The sequence below is a fragment of the Homo sapiens genome, chromosome 10 (genome assembly GCF_000001405.40).
Source record: "Homo sapiens chromosome 10, GRCh38.p14 Primary Assembly".
NCBI lineage: Eukaryota > Metazoa > Chordata > Mammalia > Primates > Hominidae > Homo > Homo sapiens.
In genome coordinates this window covers 49,845,859-49,869,351 of record NC_000010.11, presented here as the reverse complement: position 1 = coordinate 49,869,351, position 23,493 = coordinate 49,845,859, and the positions used below count along the sequence as shown (strand labels likewise).

General features: G+C 36.2%; 1 protein-coding gene across 14 annotated transcripts in view; it reads left to right on the top strand.

Moving 5' to 3' along the window:
- PARG (poly(ADP-ribose) glycohydrolase) overlaps positions 1-23,493 on the top strand; it is a 123,749-nt gene that overhangs the window by 72,676 nt on the left and 27,580 nt on the right. For 13 of the 14 annotated variants that reach the window (NR_130169.3, NR_136752.3, NR_136754.3 and 10 more), the window contains 3 exons: positions 3,971-4,031; positions 7,689-7,764; positions 11,899-12,046. Coding sequence is in view for 6 of the 14 variants with exons in the window: in NM_001303486.3 (NP_001290415.1) it covers positions 3,971-4,031; positions 7,689-7,764; positions 11,899-12,046 (285 nt within the window). In the remaining 8 variants the exon portion in view is untranslated. Of the gene's footprint in view, positions 1-3,970; positions 4,032-7,688; positions 7,765-11,898; positions 12,047-23,493 lie in introns of those variants that run through there. The other variant, XM_047425921.1, reaches the window with a different exon arrangement.

The window sequence follows — 23,493 nt, the reverse complement described above, 5'->3', positions numbered from 1 at the left end:
TAATGATGCGACAATATAACCTAGTTTTATGCTTATGTTGTGTATAAGCATAAACGTGTGCTAAATGTAGGGGGGCGGGGTTTACATACTCTGAAATCGGACCCATATTCTCTGAAATCTGTAATATACATCAAAAGATTTTCATGAATAAAAACCAGAGAAAGTATATTGACCAGGAAATAAATTTTGGATGCTCTTTATTTAAAGAAGTATTCACTAGTTTATTTGCATAAGTCAACTAACGCATTGCTTTTCTACCCATTCCTCTCTTTTGTGCCCCCCTAAGCCCTTTGTGGAGTTCTTATAAAACTGTTTTGTACTGAGTTTTATATCTCCATCTTCCTCTATTGAACCTTAACATTCTTGCTTCCCCAAAAACTGATAGCAGCTAAGACAGTAATAGTAAATGTCCAACAAATACTGGTAATGACCAGCTGATAATAGATTGGTATTGCCACTCTTATCTCAGAAGCTGAATGACCATGGTCAAGTTTCTTGACACCTCTAAGCTTCAGTTTTATCACCTATGAAATAATATAATAACGGCCATTACCTTACAGGGTAGTTATAGATATTAAACAAGAAGATACATGCTTAATAAATGTAAGCTATTATCAATGGGTAGCCTTTCCTACAAGTGGATGTAAACCAGAACACCTCAAAAGTTTCTTTGTGCTAAGTAGGTAAGGTCAACCTGGTCAAGTGAAATGGCTTTTTTTCAGTTCTGGGTCATAGGATTGTCTTAAAATATGTCTTTGAATCATTTTAAGGTCATTTTTCTCATATCCTTCTTTTACTCTTGCATTACAGTGTACTTGGCATCTTCCCCCTTGAATGTATTGCTATTGGACATTGTTAAATTTTTAGAATGAAATCAATTATCAGGATTTTGATATTTAAGGGAAAATTACATGCTTCTCTGATATGGAATTATCTCATAGCTTATCGAATTTCAGTTTTGTGCCCTGTACTGAATGAAATATTACAATGCAGAATCATTTGGACCTATGAGACACAAAATCAAATTAGAATTTGTAATGACTTGTTAAAAAGATGACTACGTAAGGCCAGGCACGGTGGCTCACGCCTGTAATCCCAGCACTTTGGGAGGCCAAGGTGGGTGGATCACGAGGTCAGGAGTTCCAGACCAGCGTGGCCAAGATGGTGAAACCCCATTTCTACTAAAAAATACAAAAATTAGCCAGGCGCGGTGGCGGGAGAGTGTAATGCCAGCTACTCGGGAGGTTGAGGCACAAGAATCACTTGAACCCAGGAGGTGGAGGTTGCAGTGAGCTGAGATTGTGCCACTGCACTCTAGCCTGGGCGACAGAGCAAGACTCTGTCTAAAAAAATAAATAAATGACTGCTTTTTTTGGCTATTCTAGGTCTAATTAGAATTATTACTATTGGTTTTTTTTGTTTTGTTTTTACAGTACTTTGAGTTGCCATTTTAAGTAGAATTATTATAACGAAGTAGTACAGAGTTTACTTTTTTGTCCTGGGAGTCAAATCATGTATGTCTTCTCTAAAAACTAACTTGGCTTTCTAAATTTTAGGATTTCAGATACTTTGAGGAAAAAGCTTAAAGTTTGTTTTTTCAGCTGGAAATGTATATGCCATTATAAGTATTGGGAATTTGAAGAAATAAATTATAACTAGACATTTTATTTTCTGACTTTTTCACTGTACATGTTAATTAAGTTCTTTGTAGAAATACAGTACAACATTGCTCTTGGTCTTCAGTGTGTAAAGCTAATGGTTTGAAGAGGAAATACTAAAGAGAATAAAAGAGGTTGCAGTATAATGAGTGGTTGTGTAGAAGTTCTGGAGCCTACTCAATAGACTTCAGAAGCTTATTTAAGGTACCGTATTTCATCGAATCTGAGATGTCATAGATGACTTTTTAAAAATGCTCTTATATTATATACCTCTAAGAAGGAAAAAACACTCAGGACAGGGAGTTTAGTAGGAGACATGACCCACAAGGCTGGTACACCTAAGGATAAATGAGAAATTAACTTGACCTTCCAGGAAAGGGACCATAAAGAAACGTGCAAGTCTCAACCTTGACACTAAATAGAGAAAGGAAAAAAACATTTCTCTGAGAATTTGAACCACAAGCCCTAAGCTTTGAGTGTGCAGCCTTACCACCAGTGTGGTCCACAAAGGCCTGCCACAAAGGATTAATTCAGATGGTATCAGGCTGATAGTGTTCCCAGACGACAGCAGAAGCAGATGCACATCTTCTCTGGGAAAATTCACCTCTAGTCTAGACCTATGGTAAGATACCTCCATTATAAAAGATGTGTTCCAGTTTCGGAAATGTAACGTGAAAAAACATGCCTTTTAGAATTGATAAACTAGAATTCCATCAGGACCAACTTTTCAGTGTTGTTAAACATGTGTATTTTATATCTGATGAAGATCTTGAGACTGAAGTATTTTAAAAAGCCTTCTGAATTAAATTACTTTCTATATAGTTTTAGATAAAGTGTCTTATAGATGAGGTTTTTGAAAATTTATGACCTGTATATAGTATATATTGTGATTTTATGATGGGAAGTATTTGATTAATCAAAGTATCCTATTCTGAGATGAAAGTTGCCTTGTTACGAAAAAATGCTAACAGACGTGCTCTCAAGGCATTTTTGTTAATCTAAGAAACCATGTTCTTCTGCCTTTTCTTGCTTTGCCAGCAGTGTTTATGAATTTCTTTTAGCATCTCTTAGTATATATTAAGGACATTTGATGTTCTTCTCTGCTAAGTTACCGAATGACAAGAGAGATGTTTTCTATTATATTCATGGAATTGCTTCACTAGTGTTTGAGTTGTTTGACCACTTACTTGTGAGTTTTAAATATGTTATCCATTTATCTTAAAGTTAGGTATCTAAAAGACGTAAGACCCATCTTAACAAAAAAATTTGTTTTCTACTGCAACTGCTCCATATGGTTTTTGAGTGTTTCCTGCTTTTGACTGAGAACAAGGAAATGTGGAATTGTGCACAGGAATGAAATGATGGCCAGGCTTTCACTGGGTTATACACTGTCATCACTAATAGTTCCTGACATCTCTCTCTTTCCTTAAGAGCTTTTTTGTATTCAAGAAAACAGAAATGGCATGGCCTTTTTAGTTTGTTCTTTGATTTGAATCAGACAAATTACTTCTGGCCAGCTGATTTATTAGTTTCTTTTGCTACTAGCTTTAAAAAATAAATAAATAAATCTGACTAGAAAAGGATCTCATCCTCTAAAATTATTGACTACATTAATAGTACTTCATTTAGATCCTCCCAGATTTATTGCTCCTTGAAAAATATGTCATCTTTGTTCTGTAAACTCTTAGAACCAGTAATTTCTCCTCTGGCTACGACTGCTACTAACAAGTAGAGTGATTGCCCACTATTTAAGCCTGAGACTTAGCTGTACTAACTCCAGAGGATGTGCAAATGATTTCCTTTTTAAATCTGTGGCATTTCACTTTACCATATAGTACATAAATGTGTATTTATTCTCCAGTCTTTGAATGTAGGGTTAAGTCCTTTCTTTGTAAAGGAGTCTACAAATTTGAATTCAATTTTGTCTTTATTGCATTAGCTGTACCAGTTATACATCCTTTTTTTCAATGCTTTTTTTTTTAAAAAAAAGTGTATTCAGCTTCAAAAACTTTACCAAAAATACCAGCACTCAAATCCTACTGTTGTGCTGTTATTTGTATAGTTTCGTTTAGTGAAGTCTTATTATTTTATAGAAGGAGTTTCTACTGTAAGGATATTATTTTCAATCAATATTCTGTTATTTTCCAATGCTAGGCTTTGTATTTCCTGGTTAGTTTTATAGCCAATGTTAGACCTATTCTTTTACCGAGTGTGTGTGTGTGTGTGTGTGTGTGTGTGTGTGTGTGTGTGTGTATAATCTTTTCAAAATTGAAACTTATTTTGGGTATGTTTTTCTTTTATTGCTTCTGTAGAACCTACTGGGTTGGTGACATTTACAAGACAGAGTCTTGAAGATTTTCCAGAATGGGAAAGGTAACAACAATAATAAAAATAATCCTAGACCCCCTAGAAATAGAAGGACTCTTGCACCATGAGAGGATTCTATTTTATAGCACCTAGAAAGATGGTTTTCCAACCTCTATTTATCCTAGTGCCAGGGAATTTCTTCTCATAAATGATCCATTGATAGCTCTCATGTTTGAAAAGGTTATGCCTTTTAAATCAAAGTCTATAACCCTTTGATTTCTACCATTTTGTCTTGGTTTTGTCTTCTGAAACAAAGTCCTGTTTAAAATTGAGAAGTGTTGTATGTGAAGACACTAATACAAGGAACACCAATATTTAAATGTTTCTCCTTACCCTTTTTTTTTTTTTGGTTAGTGTTTGAACTTTATGGCTTTTCTTTCTGGAGGACAAGATTGAGAAAAGTCTTTTTATTATTTACATTTTAGTAAACAGTAACCATCTAGAGTTCGTCGAGTGGCAAGAATTTTGAAGTTTGGCTGCCCTTGTGTACTACTGGTAGATTTTGTGGAAGTTGCTATTTACTGTTTGTTTCTTATTTATCAGAAAATATTGAGGAGATAGCAGCCAATATGAGCTAATTCAGATTTGTAAAGTCCTTAGTGTCCTGAAATAGTTAACATATTTCTTAATCTAAAGCAAGTCTCCCAATATACTTAAAGAAGGGTCCTGAAATAGTTAACATATTTCTTAATCTAAAGCAAGTCCCCCAGGACACTTAAAGAAGTGTAGATTAACTTTTTAAATATGTTTGAGGACATGATGAAGCATACTAAATACATATTTAACCAATGCCTCCCATTTTCACTTTCTAATAATTTTATGATAGTTTGTAATTGTTTTGTTTGGAATTAGTGATGAATGGAAATCACTTAAAAAAACGTTAACTTGAGAAGTCATATCTGCTTAGGTGGCTTTCCTGCGGTGTTTTCATCCATCAAAGATGTTTATTTGTGAAGTGAAAGATAAAGAAATTTACTTCAGAAGACTGAGTGCGTGGTTTAGATGATTATTAATAGAGGGAAGTAGATAAAAGGTTAAGCGACCTGAAGAGAGAAAAAAAAATGAGCCAGAAAAAGATGAGAACACGTACAGCATTTTGGCATCATGGCATGTTAGATCTGAAAGGAACCCCGGCCGCCTGCTAAAACTCTTGATCAGCTCTGTAATACCTGCAACAGACAGAAGACTGGATAGCTTCAGTGATGGCAGATCCGCTGTTTCGTATCAGTTTGTTCCATTGGTGGCTGCTTGTGTTATCATCTCATGCTTTCATTCACTAAAAATGTTTTCTACATTCATTCTCCACCATTCCTGGTTCTTCCTTCTGGAGCTACATAAATAAATCTGAATTTCTAGTTTTCTTTAACATTTGACCCTCCTTCATGTATCTTAATGGCTTCTTAACCTACTTCCCTCTCTAACAGTGCATACAAGTTCATACTAAACTGATTCGTTTCTTCTATTTCACATGTAATATGGATTCTAAACCCTTTATCTCTGCTCTTAACATACTCCCATTCATTGGGCCCTCTTAAAATATAGTGCCTGGAATTAAAAGTACCATTCTGCTGTGTCATCTCTATGGTGCAGAGGATTGTTTTTCTTCACTCTTCTATTAATCTCTAATAGGAATGCATATGTTTTGTTCCTGTTACTTTGGTGTAGATTTTATAGATCAATCTGAGGGCTTATTTTTAAGTCATCCAGGATCTCTACTTTGCATCTGATATTCATTTGGCACTAATGTGAAAGAACACCCATTTGTATACCACCATGTGGGAGAGAAGGGACAGGTCAAAATGCAGAGACTGGCAAGGCTGCTGTGTCAATGAGACACAGTAACTTTGCCTCTAAGTGAGACGAAGATTGTCCCCTTAATTTTGATAGGCAGAATTTGACTTATTTTTATTTCATTGATCTCTTTTTTGTTTTAGTTGCTTTATAAGTGAGTTGGAGAATATAATTAAAACCAGTCTCCCAGACTCCACAGAACCAGAAACATGCATTCACTTAAAGAGGGAGAATGAAGAAAAGATAAGGATTGTTGGTGTTCCCAAGCGTAAGGGGCTAAATGGGTCCAGGAACTTAGAGGCTTTCCTGAATTCCATGTTTGTGGCATGTTATAGTTAACCCTTTGATTATCAGCAAATACTTTAGCCAGGCTTAATCACAGAGAGCCAGAATCATCTACGTCTCTGACTCCTGGGGCGGGGGTGTAGAGGATGACCTACTGGGAAGTTAGAAAATGCTTCAAAACAAAACCAAGAAAAGGTTTCTAGCAATTTCGTGATTTTATTAAGAGCTATACTATAAAGTTTCTAGCTTCAGTCATGGAGAATAGTTGACAACAGATGGAATTCCCATTCTGAAGTCCTGACTGACAGCCCAGAGATTTTTAGATTATGCTTCTTTATCTTTTTAGTAGTATGCTTACAGGGGTCTTCCTCTGAATAAAATGGCTAGGAAAGTAGGACCAAAAAAAGGAAGTTAAAAAAATATATCAAACTTACGATACTGTTTTCTACAAGAGACTGGGAAAGTAATTTTTCTAAAAGTGTAGCATACTGATTCAGAGCTTGAGTGAGTCTACCTAGTTTCACATCTCTGCTGCTTTATTTCACTAGTCTTGGTTAGCTTACTTAGATGTTCTGTGCTTTGTTTCCCCGTCTATAAAAGGAGATAGTAATAGGGTTGTTGAGAGGATTCAATGAGTTAATACAAATAAGGCTCTTAGACAGAACCTGTGCAGAATTACCTTCTGAGTTAAAGCTATCAGCCTGTTGGGCTGGAGTTTTGCCAGAAATGTATTTAAACTCATTGAAACCAGGAAGGAATCAAACAATTCTCAGTATTTTTCCAGCTAACCTCCTAGACTATTTTCTAAAAATATAATCATCTCCTCCCTCCCAAAAAAGATTATGGGCACTCTTATGTGAGTTAGAACTTTGGATCTCCTCTGTTTCATTCATTTATATTTTTTATTCAGTAAGTGATCAGGGGAAAAATATCTAATAAGGCAAATAATGTTAACAAATACTTTTGATACAATGGAATTTGTTGTTAATATAACATAAGTCAATACCTCAGTGGCCATGGTTGAAAGGGAAAGAAAATAATTATGCCTTCTAAATTACAGGTACTAAGTTTATCTGTTAACCTTATTAATAGAAAAATACCATTGTTCAGAATTTCTGTCGCAGGTATTTTCATCAAGACACACACACACACACACACACACACGGTTATGAAACAGTGAAAATAGAAAATGGAAGCCAGAAGAGAATCATATATGATTTATTGCCAAATTTTTTCTACATTTTTCCTCAGATTGCCAACTCTAGCCATAACAAAATTTCATAGATCTTAATTTTTTTAATATTTTGTAATGTTTTTCAACTGTTTTAAAGAAGAAAAACTTTCATATTATTTAGAGGAAAATCAGGTTTCAAACTATGTTATCCAATTTTAATTTAAATATGTATATTTACATGTTTGAATAAAGGAGGATCAATACCAAGAATGTTAACAGTAGGCATCTGTTTCTGACTTTCGAGATTTGGGGTGGTTTCGGTTTTTGAATAGTTACCTATATTTTCACTTTTGTCCGCAGTGAACAACTTGTCATTAAAATAATAAATAAGGGAATGTCTTTTTATATTGTAGATGTGAAAAACCCTTGACACGATTGCATGTCACTTACGAAGGTACCATAGAAGAAAATGGCCAAGGCATGCTACAGGTAGGTGAATCTTAGTAGTGTCTGTGTATGGTTAGGACTTTTTCTTGTCAAGCTTCTGACAGCAAAAGAAATTTGAAAAACTGTTTATTTGTCTCCTAAACTGATTTAATGCAAAGAAGCATGATAGCAGAATGAAGAAAAACACCAAACAGATCACTTTGACAGCCTTGGTAATGTTGTGATTTGCCAGTGTATACTCTCTGTTTCTTATATGTGCTTCTCTAAAAAGCCTTTGACAGAAAATCCCAAGATCTGGACAGCATCAGCCTCTTGGTTCAGACATTGATAGTAGGTTGACAGTGGAGGAAGTTCCCAGGGTATAGTCTTGACAGACTGTCACCAGGCATTTTTATTCTTTTTCCTTAAAGGCTCTTCTTGCTCTGCCCCAGTTGATGACCAGATGGAGATGTTTTTCTGCCACCAACAGCTTTGTTTAGGTTGAGGGGGCAGACATCTAAAACTGATTGATAAGAAAGGCCTCTCTCTCATATGTAACAGTTTCACGCACGTGAGCTAGCTGTTTGCTATGTCTTTTCCCTGTTAAAAGCAGGTAATTCTGGTCCACTTCTCAATCTTTGTTAATAATCTGTTACCGCCTTTACCTTTAAAAAGTATTTTTGGAGAAGGGGGTTAACAAAAGCCCCGTGTTTAAAATATAGTAATATCTAACCTAATCTTTTGATTTATAATGCTTCTTTAACATTCACTAATGTTAGTGTTTTGTGTTCTTATCCCATTTATAAGAGCATTGTAAACTGAGTTTTCTTTGAAAGAAGCTTGTATACCATCTCATTTATACTGATAATAGTTTATTTTTCTTCTTAGATTCTTATTTGGTGCTTATATTGGTTCAGAATCTAAAGAAAGCAGTTGCCTGAAAATGGACTGATTTGTTTGAATAACTTAATGCTCACTATAAGATTTACGTCTAGTTATTATTTAAATGAAACTGAGATTCTTTTTTAAATGGCCTTTTATTTGGACATATTTGTAATTAAAATCTTCAAAGAGACAAACTATGTTTTATTCTAAATCACCTTCTCCCAGTGGTTATTTGAGCTTATAAACAAAAACAAAACATATTTAAATTTGCATTTACTCCTATACCTTTTTTCTGTTTAAAAAATAATCTTAAAATATGCTTAAATATTGGTTCAAATTAGTATCACTTTTTCCCCCACATTCCCCTCTTGATGAAGTTCTTTCCATCTTTAAAGTCTTGGATAAACTGAGAGATTCTTAATACACATGAACTAAACAAAGTTACTGCTAGTTAGCACCACAGGAATGCTGACCTTTCATTACAATACAATTCAACAAGGAATTATTTAACAACAGTTAAGGTTGAGATCCTCCCCACTTCCTCGGAATATATTATAGATGGAAATGTGAGACCTCGGTAGATTAGAGAATACCGTAAGGGCTTCTTGCTATTAATTGTTCTCCCTACCCATGCCATGTCTCCGCAGGAGATCGGGGAATATTGTATTGCAATGCTACAGAGCTCCTTGTGTAGCATATAAATTACATGATGCTGAATGGCAACAACAACAAAACCTCTCTGAGGAGCTTTATCATTCCTGTCTTTTCATCAAGTTATAATTCAGAAGCTGAGTAATCTGAATGAGTAGCTTTAAAGTGACTTGGAAAATAACTGGCTAAAAATAAGGATGCATTCACATTCTTGTTTTCATGTACTGGAACAGGTTTCTCAACTGTTGTAGAGGGTCTTTATTGTTAAGAACTTTTTTAAGTAGTAAAACTTTGGTTTTCTAAAAGACTTTGGCATTTAGAGGCATACTGAGTTTAGTGTCTTTATTTCTGTGCACACCTTTCAAGTTAAAAATGTGGGCCTTTTATTCAAAGAGTAAACAATAACATACACATTGAATGTATTTCATCATCATTATCAAGTAGTACATAAGTTGGATAGAGCTTATCTTTTTATTTTTGTTATGTACCTTATTCCAGTAAAAATTAAGTTAGGCCAATCTTAAACCTCGTCTGTTTCTCATTTGTAGTCACAATATCATTATACTTTTAGGCACTCAGCCAGTCTCTTAGTTCTCAAGTACAGTCCATTTTATTTCTTTACCGAGTTTCTTCTCTTTCCTTTACTTTACCACTTTCCTGTTTGAGGCCCTAGTAGTGCCTGTATAAACTATTTAGTACTCACCTAACCAGCATTTTTACTTTTAGTTTTACAGTTTTCCATTTATTCTTTAAACTCTAGCCTGAATTATCTTCCTAAAACATAGGTCCAGGTGTTACTTGAATCTTTCCCAGAACCTTCAGAGGGAAATTGAGTAAAAATTCCCTAGACCTCAGACCACCTCATCACCAACTGTAAGCCTCCACCTACTCTACACTGCAGGCAAGCACAATGAATCTGTTTACCATTCCCCTCATATAGTGATTTACATTTGTTTTTTTTTTTTGCCCTGTGTCCTTGTGCAGCTATGCCCTCAGCCTGCATGTCAGCTGCCACATCCCCTTGTAAAGCTTTCCTATCTTCCTCCCATGCTCCAATTTTAGTTAATTGTATTATTAGAAAGTATCAAATACATAGTAACAAGCTCTTCAATAATCATCTTCTCATTCTGCTTATGCTCATTCTGACTGCCATCTAAATTACAAATGCCGTGAGGCCAGGAACCATACATACCTTATTCATCTTTGTATCCAGTGATTCCCAGCACAATACTCAGTAAATATTTGTTGAATTGGACAGTTTAAGCCATGAATCACCCAGTGCCCATAGACCTCATATGTAGTAGGTAGCTAATTCTAATCAACAGACTGGTTTCACCAAAATTATTTTCCTATTTAAGCTAAAGAGTTACTCTGGTTTTTTAGCATTGGTTTTAGTACTCCAGAACACAAATCCAAATATATGATTCTCTCTGGTAGCTCAATTGAAGAACTCCTCAGTGGTATGTTTTAGTATTTTCTAAGTTCTCCTGTGGTAAAAGAAGACTGCTTCGCCTTCTATTAATTTCTGTCTTTTGACATATATTTTTACATATCAAACGATTCATACTATTGTTTTACTATTTTGTAAAATAGGCTTCAGATTGTCATTTAGTATCAGTTGCTTTAGAGAACACTGAAGTTTTAAGAAATCGTATATTTTAAAATAGTTTGAAAGAATATAAGCCTCATGGTATTTAGTAAATCCTATTTTACTTGTGTGTATGACTATGTATATACACAAGTTGTGTGTGTGTGTGTGTGTGTGTGTGTGTGTGTGTGTGTGATCTAACTCCTCAGATAGTCTCACTAAGGAAAAGATGGTTGCTATTTCTTACATACTGCTTCATGAGGCTGGCATAGTGCTGGACACACTGGACAAACGGAAATAATGCCAGCAAGTTGAGTTTGCTTTCTCTGGAGGATTGTGTAATTCTTCTTTATTAGTAGGCATTTGGGGATCCCATCATACTACTCCACATAAAGCTTAAGAGTTTCCAACCTAATTGGAAATATTACTTTAATTGAATCTTTGTTGCTATACTGGGTTTTCTTTCTTCCTTTTTTCCTTAGTTATATTTTTAAAAAGTAGTTTGTAATGTTCATGTAGTTTGGGGTTTGGGGTTGAATTTAGAAGGACAAAAATTCGATCTCTTTATTCTTACAATAAAGTTGGAAAAGGTTACCCAAAAAGTTGATTACTAAACTTTTCAGTTCTTTAGGGCAAGTGTTTGGTTACCATATTACATAAGAAAAGTTTAATTATATTAAAGTCACGTGAAATACATAAAGGGAAGTTGAGTAGTGAATGGGGGAGAATGACTTTGAAACCTTCCCAGATAAAGACCTCCCTTGATTTGTGGCCCATGAGACACAAATAGGTTTATAAACAAGAGTCTGTATGATACATAATATTTTGCCTAAAAGCTCCATTTTCCAGATTGCTTCTCTGGTTCTGGGATCCAGAAAAATGTGCAGAGATGTTAACTGCAGTGAGGTGGAAAGAGCTTAAGCAACCAAAATCTGCCCTTCCTGGGAAGATTACTTATTTGGGGATTGATTTTCATGGGAGAGGAAAAGATGAGAGCTTAGAGACTATGTGCTTCTTGATCATATGTGTAGGTATTTTTGACCATTATTTAATATGTCACATTTCCCCAACAGGTGGATTTTGCAAATCGTTTTGTTGGAGGTGGTGTAACCAGTGCAGGACTTGTGCAAGAAGAAATCCGCTTTTTAATCAATCCTGAGTTGATTATTTCACGGCTCTTCACTGAGGTGCTGGATCACAATGAATGTCTAATTATCACAGGTTAGTTTTGGGAAGCCTGGAAAATGGGGTAGTCTTCCCCATCTGTGAATATCTGTCATGAAGACTAGAGACTACCCAGTATAGCTTTTATCTTCCATGGGCATCAGTCCCAATATTTTTATCCATTAATTTATACTTAGTTTTTGAAATTATTACAGCCTTATTTTCCTAATCTTAAGTAAGACATCTTATTTTTACCTTTTCTTTCTTTCGTGGCATCTTTATCTGAGGAACAGGGATTAAAAACTATTCAGTTACCCCACAGTTTGAATTTTTTTTTTTTTTTTTTTTTTTTTGAGACAGAGGTTTGCTGTTGTTGCCCAGGCTGGAGTGCAATGGTGCAATCTCGGCTCACCGAAACCTCCTCCTCCCAGGTTCAAGCGATTCTCCTGCCTCAGCCTCCCGAGTAGCTGGGATTACAGGCATGCGTCACCACACCCGGCTAATTTTGTATTTTTAGTAGAGACAGGGTTTCTCCATATTGGTCAGGCTGGTCTCGAACTCCTGACCTCAGGTGATCCGCCCGCCTCGGCCTCCCAAATTGCTGGGATTACAGGCGTGAGCCACCACGCTTGGCAGTTTGAAATTTTATGACATAATAATGCTCTTAAGAAGAACATAGTGATATGCCTCTAGTATGTATTCTGTTGTAATTCTTCCATTTGAGAGTGATTTGTTTCTATTAAAAATAATTTTCAAGTGGTTTCTTGTACTTTAGTATGAAGACATTGTGTAAATATAAGAAGCACAGGAACAGTATTTAGAGAAATCAGTAACCTTTTGTTTACCCTATTTTGAATCCTAAAAGAAAAAGTTCAGTTATCATGGCCAGGCGCGATAGTTCATGCCTGTAATCCTAGCGCTTTGGGAGGCCAAGGCAGACAGATGGCCTGAGGTCAGGAGTTCAAGACCAGCCTGGCCAACATGATGAAACCCCGTCTCTACTAAAAATACAAAAATTAGCCAGGCACGGTGGTGGGTGCCTGTAATCCCAGCTACTCAGGAGGCTGAGGCAGGATAATCACTTGAACCCGGGAGGCAGAGGTTGCAGTGAGCTGAGATCGCGCCACTGTACTGCAGCCTGGGCGACAGAGCAAGACTCCATCTCAAAAAAAAAAAAGTCTGATTATCTTGGTGTTTCTTCTTGTCCTTCTTGATTTCTTTACGCTAATATGGGAGGAGGAGGGGGGAAATTTAGTCACGTGTATGCTTTAGGTCTGTTATAGAGATTTAATTTTTTTTTGTTTCTTCAGACTGAGATCACTATGTAACAGTATTTTCTTTGAATAAGCTATCAAGAAAAATGATGATTACCTCATATCTCTTAAGAAACTCTTAATCAGGCACCATATGTAAGTTGAGTCTTTTATTCAAGTACGTAAAAGAATATTCCCACATAAGTGCCGTTAATGCACCATGAGTTGCTGGTACTATTTTTTTTTCCTGAAAAAGTGGATTTTTTATTTCCACTTAGAATCTGTTACTGCTTGGAGATGAGTTTCGGGGTCTAAACACTCACCTGGGTTGTAGAATTTAGTTTATTGTTATTCCCAAAAATTATAATAGGAGAAAAACCCTCCCCATGAGTTATATAAAATGTGTACCCAACCGCATTACCTCCAAAGACATACATGACAAAACCGACTCCAAAGTCTAATCTTGAAGCCACACTGTGCCTCAGATAGATTTGTAGACAACCTTCAGAAGAGTATATTTTCTTATGTTTTGCTTTTAAGATTCTCTTTGACTTTCAATGGTTTGAATATGGTGTGTCTACATGCAGATCTCTTTGACTTTATCCTACTTGAAGTTTTTTGAACCTCTCTAATGTTTGTTATATTTGGTAAATGTTGGGCCATTATTTCTTCAAATGTTTGTTCTTCCCCTTTCCTCATCTTCTGGGACTCCCAAATTACGTGTTTGTTGATTCACTTGATGTTCCACAGGTCTCAGAAGCTCTGTTTATTTTTCTTCATTCTTTATTCTTCTTGTTCCTGAGGCTCAGTCTCAATTGCCCTGTCTTCAAGTTCACTGGTTGTTTTTTCTGCTTGCTCTAAACTGCTTTTAATCTCACTGGTGAATTTTTTATTTCAGTTATTGTACTTTTCAATTACAAATTTCTGTTTATTTTTTATAATTTCTATCCCTTTATTTATTAATATTCTCTATTTGAGAGGCATCATTCTTATACTTTAGTTTTTTAGACATAGTTTTCTTTAGTTGTTTCAGTATATTTTAAATAGCTCATGTAAATTCTTTGTCTACTAAGTCCAACATCTGGGCTCCTCAGGGGCAGTTACTACTGACTGCTTTTTTTTTTTGAGTATGGGCCATACTTTCTCATTTCTTTCCATGTCTTCTAATTTTCATTTAAAACTGGACATTTAAAATAATGTAATGTGACCCTGGAAATCAGATTTTCGCTTTTCATCACAGTTCATCCTTCTTGCTGTTTTTTCAATGACTTTTCTAAACTAATTTTGTGATGTCTGTGTTCTTTCTGTGTGTGGCCAGTGAAGTCCCTGCTTGTTAGATTAGTAGTCAGCTAATGCTTGAACAGATTTCCTTAGATGCCTGAAACTAATAAGTCTCAATGAAGTCTAATAGTCTTTGTTGAAGGGCTGTATGTGCAGGTGCAGCCTACCTTCAACACTGCACTAAGCAGTTGATGCCTCTGCCTTAGCCTTCACTTCCTGTCAAGGTCAGGCAGAGGAGAGAGCTGAGGGCTTTCTCTAGTTTTTCCTGAGCATTCATATGGCCATGGGCACGCATGAGCCCTCTAGATTCCTTCTTGTTTTAATATATTAGAACTTTTCAAAGCCCTTTGTGGACATTCTCATTCTTCAACTTTTCCTTTGAAGCTTTTGGTTAGCCTATTGTTTGCCCCAGCTGTTTGCCACCACCTCAAGAAGTTTCAGTGTTAAACAATCCCTGTAATTGTTTTCATCAAACCCTCAAAAGAATTACGCTTTTCCTACTGGCCAAGCTCCAAGTCCTGTAAAGTAAAGACAGCCTTCTGAGCGGGGCCCTCCAGGGGACCACCAGACAGGTCAAATAATGACAGTTCTCTGAGAATTGGGCTTTGAAGGAGCTTCAGCTTTCTTTTGCCCCCTCTGATGGCTTCTGATTTTCACTGTGATTCAGGAAGGTTAGTTTTTAAGGCCGAGATGGAGCTTGGGAGAGTGGGATGGGAATAAGGCAAATAAAACACTGCAAAGTTTATTGTTTTTACCAAGATTCAGCTGGTTTTTCTTGAATAAGCACTCCCTGGATTGCTGCAAGCCTTTGGCTACTTTTCAGTTGATTCTCACAGTGCTCATCACAGTGTTCACATTGCTTTCATGGAGGAGAGAGTTTTCAGAGGTTTTTACTGCACCATTTTTTACTGATATCTTTTTATCTTTTGTAAGCACCCATGGATAAAGGAGCTTTCAATGAGTTATTCTACATCATTTAGACATCCTATGTAAATTTTTATCCCTGTGATTCTGCTTTTTTGGTGAAGTAAGGCAAAAAATAAAAAATTGTAAATTGTCTGAGTTTATGTAGGAAATTAAGATTGGAACTTCCACAAAGGAATTTTTTTCCTGGACAGAGCCTCAGTCAGCCATTTGAAGTTAGTGACTTGGAGTACTGCATTCAGAATTCTGAGATTATGATCCAAATTATACTGAAATGGAAAGATAAACTCCTTTTGTACTCAACACTTCCTCAACTCACATTTTGGCCATCTGTCTGCATTTGTTAGTTATCATGGATGCACGTGGGAAGTATATAATTGGGCAAGGTACTAGGGGAGATAAGATTGCAAGGAATTACAGAACAAAAAAAACTGGCATAAATCTATTGTTGAGCAACCAGCACTTTGGCTATTGGTCTCATACTATTGTAGGGAAGCTCTGCAGGTTTGGAATATGGCTGTCTTCATCATTTACGTACATCAAATAATACTTTAAAAGATTGTTATTCCGGCTGGGTGCAGTGGCTCACGCCTGTAATCCCAGCACTTTGGGAGGCTGAGGCGGGCGGATCATGAGGTCAGGAGATTGAGACCATCCTGGCTAACGTGGTGAAACCCCATCTCTACTAAACATACAAAAAAAAATTAGCTGGGCCTGGTGGCAGGTGCCTGTAGTCCCAGCTACTTGGGAGGCTGAGGCAGGAGAATGGCGTGAACCCAGGAGGCGGAGCTTGCAGTGAGCCGAGATCACACCACTGTGCTCCAGCCTGGGCAACAGAGCGAGACTGTCTCAAAAAAAAAAAAAAAAAAATTTTTTTTTTAGCTGTTAAGGTAGATTTGGATTGAACACTGAGAACAAAATATCCCATCAGTTTTTAAGATGAATTTACATTCTTGAAATAAAAAACTTGGTAAAATGCATTTAAACTTAAAGCTAACTTGTTTCATTTGCTTAATTTCTCTAGAAAGTAGTAAGAACTGGGCTGGGCGAGGTGGCTCACCCCTGTAATCCCAGCACTTTGGGAGGCCGAGGCAGGGGGCATCACAAGGTCAGGAGATTGAGACCATCCTGGCTAACACGGTGAAACCCCATCTCTACTAAAAATACAAAAAATTAGCCAGGCATGGTGGTGTGTGCCCGTAGTCCCAGCTACTCAGGAGGCTGAGGTGGGAGAATCTTTTGAACGTGGGAGGCAGAGGTTACAGTGAGCCGGGATTGTGCCACTGCACTCCAGCCTGAGTGACAGAGTGAGACTCCGTCTCAAAAAAAAGAAAAAAAGAAGAAGAAGAAAGTAGCCAGTACATTGTCATCCTCCATTAATGTTAATGTAAATAAAGGATGTCATTTTCCTTGGGAATAAAACAGGAATGTTAAAAGGAAAACATAAGAATATTTTCTTTTTTTAAAGATAATTTGTCCCCAGTCTAAAAAAGGATTCTAATCTCCTTTTACGTAATCTCTAAACGTTCCTGCAGCTATTGTAAAATGAATGGAAAATTGCAGATCCATGACTCACCTTCAGATCTGTAATTACCTCAGGCTAAGGACATATGGGGTGACTTTTAACTCAGCATTTTCCCCCACATCCACTTAACTTTATTATAGTGCCTCCTAATTAATATCTGTGATGTGATGTTACCTTAATGGAAATGGCCATTTCATCATCTATTTGATGTCTGGATTTCTGCCATCTCCCTCCTTAGGAGACTCTTAGCCATGCACTACAATCTATCTGCCTGATCAATTCCGTTCCTTCAATGATGCATCCAGCTCAGTGAGCTAATGGCTGTGACTGTGCTGCCTGAATCTGTAGAAGAGTTTGAGAAATTGGAAATAAATTAAATTTATCATCATTGTGGGACATCTGGTTGGTATCATTATTTTAAAAGAATATGAAACAGGTCATGCAAACAGGCAAATACTTTTATACAGACAGTGTTATCCCTCTGTTTGTTGTGATCCTGCCTGGGGCAGCCATGAGTTAAAAACCTTTCAGTAAGTATAGATAGAGGGAAAGAGTTAAAATTCCAATCTTCCCATTTCTTCTTTTTTTTTTTTTTTTTGTCTTCTCTTACTTGTTTCTGTACAACATCCAGAAAATAGTTTCAATACTAAAGGGTGTTAAGTTTTCTGAGAGTTGTTTTTCTGCTTCTGTTTGGTGAGCACATAAACCAGGTGCCTAGACATGAAACCTACTGGGCAGAGTATTCCTGTATTTAACGTAAAACCTGCCTCTAGTGAATCAGATTATCCCAGACATCACAAATCTTTACATCTTTTCCAAATGTCAGCAGAGCTGATAGAAATGATAACAAGTAGACACCATTGCTTATAGGACTGGTGACATCTTCTAGAGTTAAAGTACTAGAGGTGCCTGTCAAGACACCAGCTCATTGGGAAAGGTCCAAATTCAGTTGGAGTTTTCCAAAAATGTTTGGAAATTAAACGTTTTTATGCTTGTCTTTTCTAAGTTTTTAATAATCATTAGAATTAAAAGCAAGAGTTTTCTATTTACTGCATAATCACTACTGTTTGAGTGATGCTAATAAAATTTGGGTAAAATGGTGTTTATATAAACCTGCTTTCCAAGGGAACAATCCATTGGTAAGTAGAATTTTTTTTAATCTCCGAATGTTTTTTCCCATGATCGTTACAAACTCTTATTCCTAATAAGGGAAAATAACCATGTTTCTTACTACTAAATCTAAAAAATCATGAAGAGGTCATGAACTCCTCATAAGATTTTAATGGATTCCTTCTAGTTTTTTCCTTAAGTGAAGGTCTTTGACTATGAAGTCTTAAAGGCCCATCCCTAGTGAGAGCTATCACAATGGTCATTCAGTCTTCTGTCTCAGTAGCTGTTACCAGTTTACCTTTATATTTTCATCATAGTTCATTAATTTAAATTTTAAACAAGTTAAGGGCATTCACTTTTTTCGAAGGAGACAGTTGGCATGTTAAAAGGTGTCTACTTAGAAAACCCAGGGTTTAACTTGTTTAGTACAAAAGTGTTTGTATGTGTATTTTTTATTTCCCATGAAGGAGGGAAGGAAGTAAATCTAACCTTGTTCCTCTCAGAGAAGAACACTGAAACTATATTAACATGAAGTAGAAACATGATAATTGATATTTTATATTTTTCAGCCACTTTCTTTTAAAAAGACAGAACAAGTATTTGTTTTCCGAGTTAACAGATCAGAATAGGCAGTTTGTCTTTTTATGAACAGGAAAAACGAGGCTTGTCTACCGCTAGGCAGAAAACAAAAGAAGGAGTAGTCCTTGCTGTCTTGGTTCCTATCAGGCAAGTAGACCAGGTTGCTTTTCACCCTCGAGTAAATAGAATCACGCATCTGTGGTTTCTCTACCCCCTTAAAAAAATTATTTCTAATGACACCAATACTGATGGCTTTGTGGGTTTGAATGAATTTTTTACTTGTCTTATTTAGTTTCCCAAGGAATTCTATGATGTAAACAAAATAAGAATTATTAAGAACCCTGAATTTCAGATGATGGAATGATGTCCAGTGAGGTTTGGTTATCTAAGGTCACCTAGCTAGTGAAGATCCACTTTGAGTTTCTCACGTTTCCTAATCTCAGTGCAGTGCTCTTTTTACCATACCATGCATTTATTGTAGATGTGAATTTTTAGTATGCGTCAGTTATGTAGTGCCTTCGGATTATTTCTGGACTCATTGTTTTAATCATCAGTTAAATTTCTTTGGCTCATTAATTATTATGTTTATTCGGCAAGTTCTTACTCAACTGCTTTTATATTCTTGCATTACAAGATGCTAATGTAGATAAAAATATTATTTATTTTTTCTTTTTTTAGACACAGGATCTCTGTCACCCAGGCTAGGGTACAGTGGCACAATCATAGCTCACTGTTACCTCAAATTCCTGAGCTCAAGGGATCCTCCCACCTCAAACTCCTGAGTAGCAGGAACTGCAGGCTCACACCACTGCACCCACCTAACTTTTTTTTTTAATTTTCAGTGGAGACAAGGTCTCATTCTGTTGCCCAGGCTGGTCTCAAACTCCTGGGCTCAGGCAGTCCTCCTGCCTCGGCCTCTCAAAGTGCTGGGCTTACCGGCATGAGCCAACACACCCCGCCTATAATTTATAATCCCTGCCCTTGAGGAGCTGAGAGTCTAGTGAGGGAGTCAGATTCCATTTCTTAAGACAGATTTATTGAGGTATAATTGACATAAAATAAACTATTTGTTTAAAGTATACAATTATGTAAGTTTGGACGTATGACTACACCCATGAAGCTATCTTTTGTTTAAGTTTTCATTGTTTTTTGTTTTAATTGAGTTTTGAAAGCTTTATATATTTTGGATATAAATCCTTTATCAGATATTTCTAGCATGTCTTTTCATTCTCTTCACAGTGACTTTTGAAGCACAGAAGTTTTAAGTTTTGAAGTAAGCTTATTAATGTGTTGTTTTCTTTCTTCCTGTTTTGGTTGCTATATCTTTATAATAAGTCTTAAAATCAGGTAGTATGGGTCCTTCAACTTTTTTCTCCTTCAGCGTCGTTTTGCCAAGTTTTAGAATCAGTATTTCAATGTTTACCAAAACAGCTTGCTGAATTTTGAGAATGCTTTGAATCTGTAGATCTGTTTGGGGAGAATTGACTTTTTTTTTGAGACGGAGTTTCGCTCTTGTTGCCCAGGATGGAGTGCAATGGCGTGATCTCAGCTTACCGCAACCTCTGCCTCCCAGGTTCAAGCGATTCTCCTGCCTCAGCCTCCCTAGTAGCTGGGATTACAGGCATGTGCCACCATGCCTGGCTAATTTTGTATTTTTAGTAGAGACGGGGTTTCTCCATGTTGGTCAGGCTGCTCGCGAACTCCCGACCTCAGGTGATCCGCCCACCTCGGAATTGACATCTTAACAATGTTTTGTCTTTGACACATGTCTAGGATGTATGTCTCTGTTTATTCATGTCAGTTTTACTCACTAGTATTTTATATTAGTATTTTATGGTTTTCATTGTATAATTCTTCCCCATTTTGTCAGATTTATCCGTAAGCATTTCATAATTTTGTTGCTGTTGTAAGTTTTTAAAATTTCTGTTTTTAATTATTCATTGCTACTATGTGGAAATGCAATTGATTTTCAGATTACAATTCAATATGTTAAGTGCTCTACCAATGTTATGTGCAAAATACCTTGGGAGCATGGAGGAAGAACAATCAACCCTACTTATGGTGTCAAGGAATGCTTCATAAAAGAAATAACATAAATCTTCTAGTTATTTTCTTGATTTTTAGCATGAATATCTTGTCCAAAATTCTAGATAAATGTCTAATAATTAAAATACAAATTATTTTTAGAAGTAGTATATTAAATAATAGACTGGAAACTCTAGTATTGAGTTTAAATCTTGGAACTTTTGATTCTGGAAATTTTTAATCATATATGAAAATAGAGTATTTTCATAGCTTTATTTATATTATGTGGTTTTTATTGTGTGTTTTTCTGTTTGTTTTGAGACAGAGTCTCACTCTGTCACCAGGCTGGAGTGCAGTGGCGCAATCTCAGCTTACTGCAACCTCCACCCTCCAGGTTCAAGTGAGTCCCCTGCCTCAGCCTCCTGAGTAGCTGGGACTACAGGTGCACGCCACCACGCCCAGATAATTTTTGTATTTTTAGTAGAGATGGGGTTTCACCACGTTGGCCACGATGGTCTCGATCTCTTGACCTTGTGATCCGCCCGCCTCGACCTCCCAAAGCGCTGGGATTACAGGCATGAGCCACCCCGCCTGGCCTTATATTACGTGTTTTTATGTGTATGTATATGAAACTTCAGACTTACAGAAAAGTTGCAGGTATAATACATGGAATTTCCATATACTCTTTACTCAGATTCACAGAAAAGTTGTAAGAATAATACATGGAATTTCCATATACTCTTTACTCAGATTCACCAGTTTACATTTTTGTCCCATCTACTTCATCATTTTCTCTATTTTCTTTTCTTGAATTGTTTAGGAATATGTTGGAGATACTGTGCCCTTTTATCCCTAAATACTTTGTTGTATATTTCCTAAGAACTAGGACATTGTCTTACATCAGCACAGCACAGTTAGTTATCAAAATCAGGAAATTTAATTTGATACAGTACTGTTAGTTAATCTACATTATAATATAATTTTGTTATTCCAATTATGACCTTTGTAGCTTTCTTTCCAGTCTTCAATTAGTCCAGGCTCACACCTTGGTATTCTTTAAACTGGAACCATTTCTCAGCTTTTCCTTGTGTTTGTTCACTTTGATATTTCTCAAGTGGATAGGCTAGTTATTTTGTAGATTGTCCTTCTTGTGTTTGCCCACTGCTTCTTCCTAATTAGGTTCGGGTTATTCATTTCGGTAGGAATCCCACTGAAGTGATACTGTGTTCTATTTAGTATATCTTTTGAGGAGACATGTGATAGCACTTTGTCCCAATATTTGTGACACCAGTGTAATGACTTGGTTAAGTTGGGTTGACCAGGTTCCTCCACTGTCAGGTTATACTTTTTCATTCTGTAATTAATGTATCGCTATATATTTTATATACTTTGAAACTGTAAACATCTTGTCCTCATCAAACCTTCACCTACTAATTTTAGCAGTCATTGCTAATTTTTTAAACTCCCATTCTTTCTACATTTAGTAGTTGGCATTCTACTATAAGGAAGGATTTTCCCTTTTTCCTTATTTGTGTATACTTATTTATTAATATTTATTATTTATTAATATATATGCAAGTATAGACACTTGCATTCTTATTGTATTCAGTGGATTATGATCCATTGCTATTTTCTGTTTGGTGCTAAATTGTCCCATATTCCATCAGTGGGAATGCCTTCAAGTTAACTATTGTGTGCCTTTGACATGTGCCCATCATTCTTTAATGCACTTTCTTCTTTGAGCATCTCCATCTTTTTAGCACAAAAAGATGTTGTAGGCTCATCTTGTATATTCCCTGCACCAGCTCTGGAATCAGCCATTTCTGCAGGTGGTCCTGGATTTTAGTTAGTTTTTGGAAGCCAAGATTTGAACTAGAACATATATGTTACAAACACACACACACACACACACACACACATATACAACTGTGAATTTATATTGATACCTCCCATTCTTAACCAGCTTCACAGCCTATATTATAGTCTTTCCCCCTTTCCATAATTGGAACTCTCTTCCCCAACAATGAAGAATGTGGCTCCCAATATCTTCAATTTTTCTCGTTTGTTTAAGCCTAATATATACAAAAGGTGATTTCAGAACTTCTAAACCATGCCACTGCAAAAAGTAAACCTGTTAAATAGAGTTCATTATTTGTTTACAGTTCTTTTATTTTTGAAGTAAAATTTACACACATTGAAGTATACAATGTTAAGTGGATAATATGGTGAGTTTTGGCAAATTGATATGCTTTTATATCCCACACCCCTATCAAGACATAAAAAAAAAAAAAACATGTCTATCACCTCAGAAAATTCCCTTGAGCCTTTTTCTGGTCAGTCCCCAACCCCAGAAACAACCATAATTTTTATTCTTTTCATTATAAATTACTTTTTTCTTTTTTTTAGAATGTCATGTAAATATATGTCATACACACTTCTGTATCTTGCTGCTTTTGCTTAGCGTAATGTGAGATCTATCTATGTTTTTTAATGTGTCAGTGGTTCTATCCCTTTTATTACTAAGGAGTATTCCTTTGTGTGATCGTGGCAAATGTTTTGTTAATTTTTTATCAATAGTTGGATTGTTTCCACCTTTAGTTTTGTGATAGTCTTTTTTTTTTTAATGTCAACTTAGCTAGGCTACAGCCCCCAGTTATTCTGTCAAACACTAATTCGGGTATTGCTGTGAAAGTATTTTATAGATGTGATCAAAGTCTACAAGTAAAGGAGTTAATCTTATTGCATTCAATAAGCATTTTTTTTTCCTTTGAGACAAAGTCTCACTCTGTTGCCCAGGCTGGAGTGCA